Source organism: Homo sapiens, chromosome 6 (genome assembly GCF_000001405.40).
Source record: "Homo sapiens chromosome 6, GRCh38.p14 Primary Assembly".
NCBI lineage: Eukaryota > Metazoa > Chordata > Mammalia > Primates > Hominidae > Homo > Homo sapiens.
This window is the reverse complement of record NC_000006.12, coordinates 100,417,163-100,430,791: the sequence shown is the minus strand read 5'-3', so window position 1 is coordinate 100,430,791 and position 13,629 is coordinate 100,417,163. Positions and strand designations below refer to the sequence as shown.

Here is a 13,629-nt window from a genome sequence, read left to right as displayed (position 1 = left end):
AAAGCTGTTTCTGTGATAACAGAACCTCAACCAAATATAAGGTGTTCAGTAATGGGATCCTCCATTACTTATCTTTCTTAGGTATTGGAAGACTTTTAAAGGGAACATACACTTGAAAAACATTAGCTTAATAAATGACAGTGAAGGGTCTGGTGAGGGGGATGGACACAGAGGGTGGGGAGGTGGGAAATAATGGAAAAGAGGCAGCCCGAATAACATATGTGTATTTTATTTCCTATTTTTGAAAATAAAAGAATTAATATAAATGTGATTGATATTAATATGATATTAATATTACTTTTTCTTTATATTTGATTCTTTTCTAGAAGTGGGCTACAATTAGGGGTTTAGATTGTGGAAGAAGAGACTGACAATTTTAAATATATGCCTCATTTGAAAGGGCAGCATATTTTGTGTTTATTCAGATCTAACTATTAAAGACCAACACCCTCCTCCAGCCTCCAAGAAAATAAGAAACAGAAAGAATATCAGATCTGTCGAATGTACAACTTCAACCTGAAGGAGTCACAAATATGTTTAAACTTTAGTAGCTAAATATGGAATGAATTTCTGAGCATAATAAAGTCCCTCAGAACAAGAAATGTGGCCCCCACATTAGGGTTTACTTCATTTGAACAATGACAAATGTACCATTTATAAGCCACATGACACTAAATTGTTTTAAGAAACTACATGACAAGACTTTCTTTTTTTTTCAATTATGGTAATAATTTAAATTATATTCTCCTAAGAAGGAAACAGAAAGTCATATAGCTCACATGAAAGGCTTCAGAGACAGATCATTCTATAAGGTAGGAACGGTGGTAAACAGATCAGAAAGTGAGTGAAACATGCAGGCACTGAGACAGCATGTGGATATTTTAAAATTACAGCTGGTATACCTGAGGAGCTGAACCTTGAGAAAAGAAATTTGCTAGTGCTTTCTCTTTTGTAATTTAATATACAGAAAGAAGAAATTCTGGAAATGTAAAGAAAGTTTTAATATGAAATGAAAGTACATGAAATTTCCCTCAATTAGTGTTTTTTTACAAAGAAATATTTTGCTGATTATAAAAGTCACACATACTAGAGAAAAAATTAAGGTAATGCAGAGATGTTTAAAGAGAAGATGAAAGACATCTTTAATGCATTTTCAAATACTAACTAAATGTTTTAGTTTATTATCTCTCAATATGCATATACAGTACATGTCAAAGAGAGATAATTTTTTACTTTATTGTGGTATATTTTATGTCATTAGGGTCAAAATATTTAATAACTGCATAATATTTTATCACATGGATATATCATAATTTAGTAATTCTATTATTGTTGGTTCTTCTTATTTGATTATTTATAATTAAACTGAAGAGATTATGCTGTGATAAACACCCTTGTATATAGTGTGTTTTTTTTTTTTTTTGAGACAGAGTCTCACTCTGTCCTCCCAGCTGGAGTGCAGTGGTGCAATGTTGGCTCACTGCAATCTCTGCCTCTGGGTTCAAGCGATTCTCCTGCCTCAGCCCCTCAAGTAGCTGGGACTACAGGCATGTGCCACCACGCCAGGCTAATTTTTTGTATTTTTTGTGGAGATGGGGTTTCACCATGTTGGCCAAATTGGTCTCAAACTCCTGACCTCAAGTGATCCACCTGCCTTGGCCTCCCAAAGTGCTGGGATTACAGGCGTGAGCTACCGTGCCCAGCCCTGTATACAGATTCTTGATACTTATTTCTAATTATTTTTATAAGATATATTCCCAGAGGTGGAATTACCATAGTCCCCCCTTATCCACAGTTTTGCTTTCTGTGGTTTCAGTAATATGAGGTCAACTGTAGTCCAACAATAAGTGAGTGCAATACAATCAGATATTTTAAGAAAGAGGGAAAAAGAGCATGTTTACATGCAATTACAGCATGTAGTTATAATTGTTCTATTTTATTACCAATTTTTATTGTTAATCTCTTATTATACCCTATTTTAAAATTAAACTTTATTATAGGTATATAATAAAGTGTGTGTGTTTTCCTATACATACATTTCCTATAATGTAGGCATAGGGTTTGGCACTATCCATGATTTCAGGCACCCACTAGGGGTCTTAGAATGTACTCCCTCGGATAAGGCGGGGACTAGTGTGCTGAATTTAAGGTATGAACATTCTTAAAACTCTTGATAAACACTACCAGTTTACTGTCTTACTAGTAGTATATAAGCATGTCCATTCATTTCACCTTATCTTCATTTGGATTTATTGTCATTTAAAATTTTTTGCTAATTTGAAAGCAAAAAAGGCACCCGTTAGCTGCTTTAATTCATATAGCTGCTTTAATTCATTTTACTCATGAGGTTAAACCTTTAAAAAATGTTTCTCAGCAATTTGTGCATTGTTCATATCTTTTTCTTATTTTTCTATTGTAGATATATTGTATTTATTATTGATTTGCAGAAGTTATTTCTCTGGGCATCTAAAACACTATCTTTCTAACTCCTTCAATACAACTGTAATAGTCCAAATAAATGGTTGAGGATGAAATTAATTTAAAATTCCAGTTTGGCTAAGTAGCACATATGCTGAGCCTGAATTATAATTTCATAAAAATAAGTACCTTTTATTAATGTGCATAACAGGAAAACATGATTTGCTTTTTTTAAATTTAAGACCTCACAGAACTTCAGAATGATCATTATTAATTATAATCTGAGAATTTAAGAATCTCTCACATAAACTCACTTACTTAGTAGGTATCTCTTTCTCATTTATATAAATATATTTACCAGTATTTGAACTTTTATTCATTTGGATTTGAGATAAGCAAAATTTATTAAAAGATAATTATTTTGTTAATCTCTTGCAAGTGAGCATCTGTTCTATGTGAGATACTGTCTAGACAGTAAATAAAGGCTGTTATAAGAGAAGGAATTTAGAAAGAGGCTATCAAGATATGAAGCCACCACACTGTAAGACAGAACATTAGAAATGCTAGATGAGTGGTTGAGGCAGTGAATGGTATAGGAACTCAGAGGAAGGAGCTGGGAGAAATCACTGTGGCCTGGAGGGGTGAGGAAACAAATTTAGATGTAGTGTGATGGCAGGTCTGGATTTAGCTATATTTCCACTTGTTTCATGGGTTGGTGTGAAGGTATTACACAATCTCTGTTATGAGGCTGACTGACTTTGCCACATATCAACATTTCACAATTTTTTTGCCTTACTTTTTGGCTGTTATTGTTTGCCTGTTGATTACACTCATGTCTTTCCTTCTTGAAATTACAATGTGATAGCAAACTTTGTGTCTGAACCATTCCTTACCCTTGTGGTGCCATCCACTCCATAGCATGTTGGATGAAACCTTCAAAGTGGAGAAGAAAGATGGTTTCTAGGCAGAGGCAATGTATGTTTATGTAAAACCAAAGACTTTGGGAAAACTATTAAAATCACCAGATCAAATGGAGAAAACTACAAGGAGCAAACATAAATCCACTTATTAGTATGAGACTATTACATTTCCAAGGGTGCCTTACCCTAATTTCCCAGCAGATTGTCTTAGTCTGTGAGCCCCTCGCAGTATTCCTCCTTGTCAGCTCTCTCTGCTGGGCTCCATAGGAGCTTGAAAATGAAACATAAAGTAGGTCTCTCTGCTGCGGAGGTTTACCCAGTGGCCAGGCGGTAACTCTGCCAGAATATAAAGAAGGTCATACACTTCGTGTAACAGTGACTCTAGAATCCAATTAAAAAGTTTACTGTAAGGCGCAGTCATTCCCACCTAATCCGATCACGGTTTAATGCAATCCTCTGCTTATTTCAATCAGCGCCTTTGGAGCCAAATCAATTGTATGTCTTTGTTTCCACGTTTCCTTGGTAATTTGATCACCTTCAGCTGTTTAAAAAAATAGCTCAATCGGGAAATCTGGCAACCTCTTTTAAGAATTGCCACATGACATAAAGCCAACAAAGAACTCCAGATTGGCCAGCAGACTCCAAATTGACATGACAGAAGCAAAAATAAAGTAATCTAAAATGAAAGTGGAATATGGTGGGGTGGAAGAGAAAAGTTCTTGCAAATAATCTTGAATCAACAAGAACTGATAAAATACTGTTGATTGCTTTCTCTGTACACTCATTCAAACTCACTTGAAATTGTAAATAGTTCCACATTTCTTTGTAAATTAGTTTGGCTATTGGTATTATGGAGGCCATTCTCCCAGTTGAAATGATAGAAATAATGTTAATGCATTTCTCTAGAACTGACAATGCCTTTTTGTGGTGAAGACACCTTCTATTGGCTTTCCAAGGGTGTCACGCTGAGCTTCCCATGCGGCATGTTGGCATTTGCCTCATGAGTGGTCACGGTGCATTGCTTAAGGGAAGGATGAGGAAGCCCAATGATACAAAAATGGCCCCATTTTCTCTATTGGAATTTGAGTTATTTCAAATATGTACATGACTATTATAAAGTTTAAAGTAGACTCAGATGGTTAATTCTGCAAATTGAATGATTTCTGACTGCCCATAATGGAATAAGAGGATTACTTTGGTCTGTGCAAATATGGGTGAGATTGACAAGCTGCAATTCCTAGTGATTGCAAATTTCCCATTTCAGACTGCTTTCAGAGCTGAGGCACCTGAAGATGTGTGGAGCTCTCTACAAATCATTGAAGGGAGAAAAAAATGTAACTTTTCCTCAGTAGCCTTTTGAAGGATATGTCAAATGGCATGTGCCACAGTTCCTTTCCATATGCCAATCATGTCTGAGAGAACAGCATGAACTGCCCTTGAGAAAGTTACCTTACGGAGCCCCAAACAGGGTTTGTGTGGCACTTTTCAAGAAAACTTTAGAAGGAGAGCAGTGCTGTCCTTCATTTAGAAAAATCAGAGAAGTCAAATTTTTTACCACACTGATTTAAGAGTCTAAGTTCTGTGCAGCTGAGTATTTTATTTTGTTCCACTCCATGAGGAAGCATTAAATACATGATTCTACTGAGCATGCATGTAACTTTGAGGACATATGTGATACCAGAAAGTGCCTCACCAAATGAAAGGAAGAGGGTAGGGCCAGACAATTTGTGTCTGGGTTAGGAGGAAGAAAATGGAGCTCATAATGTGATTTCCATCAGCATCTAGCCCTTAAAGCTATACAAATGAAACGCTCAATTTAATAGAATTCTAAAAGTAAAACAAATGCTTTGTTCTTAGTGAATCTGCCATTCAGATTCACTCTTGGCAGCACATCAACCGTATTTGAAATGGCTTTAAGTGGGTATTTTTTATTGTGCTTTCCATCCTAGCACATCTTTTGAGCTGTTGGAGTTTTGAACAGAGAAGCAGGAAGGCCAAATTCCTCTCAGAGTGACTGTGAGCATAAGGTCCCCATTTGCTAACTTAGCAATAAAGAATTTACCTTAAAAAGTATTCTGGCCATACTGCAATAGATTTTAGAAGCTAAAAAGTAACAGAGTAAATTTAAATGGTCTAGGTTTGTATTAGTCCGTTTTCACACTGCTGATAAAGACATGCCCAAGACTGGGAAAAAAAAGAGGTTTAATTGGACTTACAGTCCCACATGTCTGGGGAGGCCTCAGAATCATGGCGGGAGGTAAAAGGAACTTCTTGTATGGCAGTGGCAAGAGAAAATGAGGAAGAAGCAAAAGCAGAAATCCCTGATCAACCCATCAGATCTCATGAGACTTATTCACTATCACAAGAATAGTATGAGAAAGACTGGCCCCCATGATTCAATTACCTCCCCCTGGGTCCCTCCCACAACACGTGGGAATTCTGGGATATGCAATTCAAGTTGATATTTCGGTGGGGAAACAGCCAAACCATATCAGGGATAGAAAGGAAAGAAATACAGCAAAAGGTTTTTATAATGAAATGTGTTGTAATCACTACCAAAGTGAAACTATTGTTCTGGGGAAAGCAGGTGCCAAAAATTGTCACACAGTTTGGAAGGTAGGATATGATACTATTTATTGAGCATTTACTATGTTCTAGGCACTGTGCTTTGAGTTTTTCACAGAATATTTCATCTAAACTTCACCAAATCCAAGGCTCATCATGGTGGCTCACCCCTGTAATCCCAGTACTTTGGGAGGTCAAGGCAGGAGGATCGCTTGAGCCTGGGAGTATGAGACCAACCTGGGCAACACAGAGAGATCTCGTGTCTACCAAAAATAAAAAAAAAAAATCAGTTGAGCATGGTGGTGCATGCCTGTAGTCCCAGCAACTTGGGAGGCTGAGGTGGGAGGATCACTTGAGCTGGGGAGGTTGAGGCTGCAGTGAGCCGAGATTGCACCACTGCACTCCAACTTGGATGAGACAGTGAGACCCTGTCTCAAACAAAACAAAACAGAACAAAATAAAAAAATTCACCAAATCCATATGAGTTACAAAAAAGAAATTGAGGCCTATACATAGAAGCAGAGGTTAGCTTAAACCACTGATCAATCAACCTGCCATCATGGTCTTCCGTTAAATTTTGGTGGATTATTTTTGTATTTTTAATGTGTACCAAAGCATTGATATTTGTATTAAGAGTATTTGTATAACTCTTCTTATATTTTTTAGTTTTCATGTGAATATGTGAAATTTAAAACCATGTCTTGGTTTAAAATGTTATTTAAACCTATTTAATTTGAAGTATTTCTGTTATTAGAAGCCATGTAAAAATTTTGGTAAGACTTCTTCAACAGTGAGATGCGTACCCTGGGCGGGGGGTGGGAGGGGGGTGGGGTCTGAAAGTGTGCAAGAGAAAAATAAATCCTTGTTTATTCACTGCTTATAGCCATAAAATCCCTGGGCTGAGATGCAGCATTAGGAATGGGTTTACCAAGTTATTTGGCCAAACTTTCATGGGTGCACAATTCTTACTGTCTGTCTAGATCCTGTCAAGCAGGAACTAAATGTCTACTGGACTATTGTCCAATGAACGGAAGTGCATTTGACACAGGAAATGCCCAAGAGTGGAGGCTCTACCTCCTGTTAGAGTCCAGTTAACTTGGCTCACTGATGTCTAATGGCAGGTAGGTCAGAGGACTCACAGCCCATCTGAGTTTTTTCTCATGCAGAAAGGATATTGGGTTGCAAGTTATTAGTGGTCACTGGGGAAAACAATCTTTCTTAGTTTCATCCTTGTTGTCTTCTGCCTCTTCCTTCTATGTGAAATACTGTGCAAATGACCATTGGAATATAATAAAATATCTCTTAACTCTTGTCCTCTAGGGACTTAGAATCCACTGAGAAAGATAAGACATAATCACTTGAAAAGTAAGGCTAGAGGTGGAAAAGGATAGTTCTTGTTCCTTCCCCAAAATACTCAGGAACTGGCCCTGGTACCTTCTTCATGAGGGGTAGGAACTTAGTCCTTGTGCTCATTGATGTCTCCCTGCCCCCAGAACAGGGCCCCATACAGAAGAGACACTCAGTAAATATGTATTGAATAAATAGCTTTAGCAGTCAGGAAGGGCTTCATAGAGGCAAGTGGGAGTTAAGAAGAGTTTTACAGGTTAAGAAGAACCAAGAGAGTTTAAAGTCAATTCAGGGACAACTGTTTGGATGAAGCAAGGGGTAGATGAAGGGAAATTTTGAAATATTGTCAGAAAAATAAGTGGGAGCCACATTTTGGAGGATATTGCATTTCTGACAGAGTGCTCAGAGTCTATATGGTCCTTGGAGTTGATTAGAGCTAAAAAGTAGACCAGTGATGAGATCGGACTTCCCAAGCCTGAAAGACAAACTGCAGGTTCACTTTCTAAATTTTTACTGCTTATGTAGAAGAACATTTTTTTAAAAGAAAGCTTGCATTGAGTGGATGGATTATTTGATAGTAAGCCATCGTAATTTGCTGATATACATCATTGCCCTGTGTTTGGTGGCAGTGATATTGTTGCAGCTGTTTTAGCTGGTTTCTATTCTTACTCACTTAAGAGACTCCTTGTCTGAATTATATTTTGTCCATTTTAAATTGACAAGTAAAAAATGAATATCTGTGATGTACAACATGATGTTTCAATGTATGTATACATTGTGGAAAATCTAAATCAAACTAACATGTGCATTACCTCATATATTCATCATTATGTGTGCGTGTGTGTGTGTGTGTGGTGAAAATACTTTAAATCTACTCTATTAGCGATTTTCAAGTACTGAATTATATTTTTGCTTTTGCCTGATCTTGCTATAGAAGAACCAATAGGGACAAAGAAAAGAAGATAAATGAATATTTGCTGATCCATGGAATGTGCCAGTCACTTTTACATATATGATTTTATTAATTTATCAGGTTTTAGGCCGGGTGCAGTGGCCTACACCTGCAATCCCAGCACTTTGGGAGGTCAAGGTGGGTGGATCACCTGAGGTCAGAAGTTCGAGACCGCCTGGCCAACATGGCAAACCCCTGTCTCTACTAAAAATACAAAAATTAGCCAGGTGTTGTGGTGGCTGCCAGTAATCCTAGCTACTCGGGAGGCTGAGGCAAGAAAATCGCTTGAACCCAAGAGGTGGAGGCTGCAGTGAACTGAGATCATGCCACTGCACTCCAGCCTGGGTGACAGAGTGAGACACTTCTCTTAAAAAAAAAATTATCAGGTTTTATATGCTTCTCAATCCAAAGACTATTAAAAATGCATGTAAAAAATTTTAAAAGGCAAACCCATTAGAGAATCAGAGAAAGTGAAAAATAAGAAAAATAAAAGAAGCCAGTGGAGTTTGTTGCACAAAGTGCATGCCGTGAGGACTTTGTACACTTGCTAGAAGTGATTATAAATCAGACTCAGGGCTTGGGGACTTTTGATTTTAGTGCAAAGAGGGAAACGTGAGGAGCTATATGATTCACAGTGTTCAAGAGATCAAAATAAATCAATTACCGAGGGGCAGCCCAGCGAGTTCTGGTACCTGAGAGAAAATTCTCCCATGAGTCTTCATAAAGAAGACTCTAAAACATTTTATTTTGGCTGCCAGTGGAAAGGGTTAATATCCTCTTATGAAAACTGAGGAGTCCGATGAGACTCGCTGCTGTCTAGAAGCCAGCAGAGGTTGTATCTATGGGCAGGCCAAGGCTGTCATCTTCAGGCTCTAGATATCTCAAGTATACCTTTGCAATGAGCTTCCTAAGATAAGCTTCATACCACAGTCTGCAGTTATTATATATGTTTATTTGTTTACTGTTTCTTCTCCCCAGTATATTATAATCCACACAAGGGCAGGGTTTATAGGTATCTTATTTATTCTTACATCCCCCTGTATTGTAGCACAAAGTCTGGTGTATATTAGGAACTCAATAAATATTTATTGAATAAACGAAGGAATGGAAAGAACGGTGGTAAAATGTACCTAAAGGAACTGAACTAACCTGTTGAGAGGAATTTTTAACTATTTATAATCCTGCTTAAACTAGTTAGCTAACTTTAAAAATGCTTTGAATGTTTACCAGAATGATTGATCCTAGAACAGCTGAAAGTAGACATTCTCCTTATATTGGTGGTAGACATGCTACCAATAATCTGGTAGTATCAGATAACCACCCCACATAAGAAACCTGTAGAGTAGGTTGTTTAATTCATATCTCATCAAAGAGCTCACAGAAGTTCAGAGAATTTGAATTATGTGTTTATTTTCCACTTAACGAAAAAAAATGAAAAATACATTATTATCAGCACACTAGTTAAATGTTAGGCCTTGCTAGAATAATCCAGGTGCTTGTGGAAGCTAGTTATAGGGCTAACTTTTGCTTGCCTTCTTTTCAAATTCGGATTACTATCATTCCTGATGAGAGTATGCATGAATCCATTTCCTATGGTGGCTGATTAAGGGCTTTGTCCTCCCACCCTGCAGAGACACAGAATACAAAGGGCTGCAGCTCTCCCTGGATCAGATCTCAGCCTCCAAACCAGCCTTCTCCTATACCAGCAGCTCCACCCCCACCATGACTGACAACAGAAAGGGGGCCAAATCCCGGCTCTCCAGCTCAAAGTCAAAATCCAGGACTTCCCCATACCCTCAGGTAAGTGCATTGCTGTTTTGCAACTTTCTTTTTTTTGGCGACATGGTTTGAACTTGAAGTTGAGAAAGTATTAAAACTATTTGGAATGAATTATCTAGTTTTAATAACTAAAACTTCTATAAATCTGGAAGGTTCTCTAAACTATCTGCCTCCTTTTAAAATAACTGCTAGTATAACTTTGAAATAATTTTGTGGTTTACTGCATTAATATAAAGGTCATGAGAGTCTGGTTGTTGTCAGAACTATAACTTCTTTGTGATTTTGAGGAGATTGATCCTGAATTTCCCTCCCACCCAGTGAGTGACCATGATGTAGCCAGCATAACAAAATACAGGAAACAAGAGCTCGATGTAGAAAAATGCATCTTGGGACAGGAACTAAAGAAGAAGAAAATTAAGAGGGGGAGGCAAAGGATCAAGGATGCATGTTCCCATGCAATTTGAACACAGACTGGCTATTTACTAGAAGGAATGAAATAAAGAGGGTCTTCCAGATGGCAGGAATGGTAGGAAAAGCAAATTCTGCTCATCTTTGCAAGGTAGAGAGAAGATGAGACCCCAAGAAGTATTCCAGAAACACTGCAAGGTACAAATAGGATTCCTGGTTCTTGGAAGAAAAAAAAATTATTTTTCTGTTCAGTCACAGACATATAAACTAGACTGTGTCAAGGTGTGTACACAGCTCTCCTGGCCTGAAGGAAGTAGGACAGGACTGAGAATTACCCACTCCCAATATCCTGTGGCCACCTCACCTCCAACCTTCTCTTTTAATAGCATCATCTCATACCTCCTGCAGTTCACTAGAGTAGCTCAGCAAATGCTTCCTGGGCTAGTATAAAACCAAACTGGAGGCTGGGCACGGTGACTTGTGCCTGTAATCCCAGCACTTTGGGAGGTCGAGGTGGGGGATCACTTGAGGTCAGGAGTTCAAGACCAGCCTGGCCAACATGGTGAAACCCTGTCTCTGCTAAAAATACAAAAATTAGCCAGGTGTGGTGGCGTGTGCCTGTAGTCCCAGCTACTCAGGAGGCTGAGACTGGAGAATGGCTTGAACCTGGGCGACAGAGGTTGCAGTGAGCCAAGATCGCACCATTGCACTCCAGGCTGGGCGACAGTGAGACTCTATCTCAAAAAAACAAAAACAAAAACAAAAACAAAAACAAACTGGTTTCTGAGTCACTTATTCATCAAGGTGGCCTTTGTCATTTATTTTTAAATATATTTTGTAAGTAAAAATGACAATCCAGTAGGTATAGAAACTATTGTTTTCTTATTTGTCAGAGTTATGTTATTCTGTTGATATCTATAAGTGTATACTATTTGAGAAAATGTTGTTCACTGAACCAGTGGTCACTAAGAGGCTACTATTTGCTAGATTATTTTAGTGGCTTGTTGTATGAAGATGAGCACAACATGGTCTCTGCCTCTAAGAGACTTATGTCACATGGTCTTCCACAGAAGATCAGGTTTCTTTACTCTGGCAAAAGAAAGGAGAGTAGATGTGTGATGCCCAGATGTTTTTCAGTGTACAACTTCCATTATAAGTACTGAGCACTTAACTTATAAAATATATATTTTAGTCAAAGTCACTGCAGAGAAGAAGCTGCTTCTTCTTCTTCTTTTTTGAGATGGAGTCTCGCACTGTTGCCCAGGCTGGAGTGCAGTGGTGCAATCTCGGCTCACCACAACCTCTGCCTCCTGGGTCCAAACAATTCTCCTGCCTTAGCTTCCTGAGTAGCTGGGATTACAGGCACTGCCACCACGCCCGTCTAATTTTTGTATTTTTAGTAGAGATGGGGTTTCACCATGCTGGCCAGGCTGGTCTTGAACTCCCGACCTTAGGCAATCTGCTCGCCTCAGCCTCCCAAAGTCTGGGATTACAGACATGAGCCACCATGCCTGGCCAGGAGCTGCTTCTTTTTATGGAACATCTAATGAGAAGCTTTTCTTATTGCTATCTTGTACCTTGGCAAGAGAGTTTTATGGTTTATTTTTACTGCTTGGAAAGATGGATTATGGCTATGGGTAGTTCTCTCCTTTAATATATAGATGTGTTGGACACATAGATGAAAGAAGAATTTAAATTAGGAGGTACTAAGTAGAAGGAGTTTGTCTATTGTTATATAGAAATTAAGCCACAAAAATAAAGTCTCCCTATTGGACCCCCAAATCCTCACTGTCTAGTCTTTGTTTTCTTTCCTACTCAGCTCTTAACATCTAACATTTCTATTAGTTCACTCTAACAGGATGCTAAATGTTATAACTACCATTAGACTACCCCTTCCATGTGGTGAGGGTGGGCAGAAAGGAGTTAACTGGAAAGTTATACACGTTCTATGATTTAAAGAAAAGGAACACAGATGAGTAGAAAGTAGAAAATTTTCTTTTTTAATTTTTTATTTTATTTATTTATTTATTTATTTATTTATTTTTGGAGACAGGGTCTCAGTCTGCTGCCCAGGCTGGAGTGCAGTGGCAAGATCCTAGCTCACTGCAGCCTCAAACTCCTAGGCTCAAGCAATACTTCCCTGTAGTATCAGCTTTCTAAGTAGCTGGCACTACAGGCACACAACAATGTGCCCCATTAATTTTTAAAATTTTTTTTTAATTTTTGTAGACATGGGAGTCTCACTTTGTTGCTCAGGCTGGTCTTGAACTCCTGGCTTCAAGCCATCCTCCTGCGTCAGCCTCCCAAGTGCCCATTTTTCATTTTTTCTCTCCAAAATTGTTCTTTCTTCTAGAAATGTTCTATGAAATGCACATGCACACACATATGTCCACATAAGATTTATCTTGAAGTTTGTGTATTTGTTATTGTGGTTAATGCTTATATAAACTAGTCCTTAGAATTTCAACCATACGTCTCATTTGAAATTGCACAGTCGTAAATTAAGTTTACTTAACATTTATGCACCTAGTTAAAGTTATTCTTTAATTGTGTTTAGATAATCATGGTGCTAAATCAATCATTGATGAGTTCCTACTGCATGGGTTGTTGATAACCTAGAGATCAGAAATGGAACATGCTATCCTGGGTGGTATAGACAGACAAGTGAGCAGGCATTTACAGTGAATTGTCATAGGCTGAGAGTTTCCTCTGGGGCACACTGGAAAAGCATGTTGTCCAGGGCAAACTCATCACCGTTTCTGTTGGAAGAAGCAACTTAGAAGTCCTCCATCTTGGATTCTAAATTCTCAAAATTTTTTTTAAATTAGCTTCTCAAAAATCTTATCTGGTCCAAATTGTTTGTATACTGTTAAGGAATAATTCACTTTTAATTTTCATGCATCATTGCTATTATGTGTTTTTGACTTAACAGATGCTAGCTGAATACCTGCATTAAAAAGATACTTCTCTGGCCATCAAAATAGTTGGGAGTTAGGGGTTGGATTAAAAAGTGCTAGACTATAAGGAAGTGGTAAAAGAAATATCCTTAAGTTTCGCAGTACAGATGAAGTCATAAATTATATACTAGAATAACTATTGTCTAGGAGATGGTGTATACAAAGGACATTGCTGGTGGTGTAAGCAATATGGACTCTGGCCTAGCTGAGGAAAGTGTTGTGAAAGACCTAGCGTCGAGGGTAGAACTCAGGTATATGGGCATAAGGGAGAGGAGAGGGGACT

At 38.1% G+C, this 13,629-nt stretch overlaps 1 protein-coding gene and 1 long non-coding RNA gene across 3 annotated transcripts in view; one reads left to right on the top strand and one right to left on the bottom strand.

The window, feature by feature from the left end:
- SIM1 (SIM bHLH transcription factor 1) overlaps positions 1–13,629 on the top strand; it is a 79,913-nt gene that overhangs the window by 34,130 nt on the left and 32,154 nt on the right. For both annotated transcript variants that reach the window (NM_005068.3, NM_001374769.1), the window contains exon 10: positions 9,834–10,002. In NM_005068.3, the coding sequence (NP_005059.2) occupies positions 9,834–10,002 (169 nt within the window). The remainder of the gene's footprint in view (positions 1–9,833; positions 10,003–13,629) is intronic.
- The window catches only part of SIM1-AS1 (SIM1 antisense RNA 1), a 51,311-nt gene that overhangs the window by 14,005 nt on the left and 23,677 nt on the right, over positions 1–13,629 (bottom strand). The window contains exon 2 of the long non-coding RNA NR_187148.1: positions 3,524–3,674. This is a non-coding gene — a long non-coding RNA (SIM1 antisense RNA 1). The remainder of the gene's footprint in view (positions 1–3,523; positions 3,675–13,629) is intronic.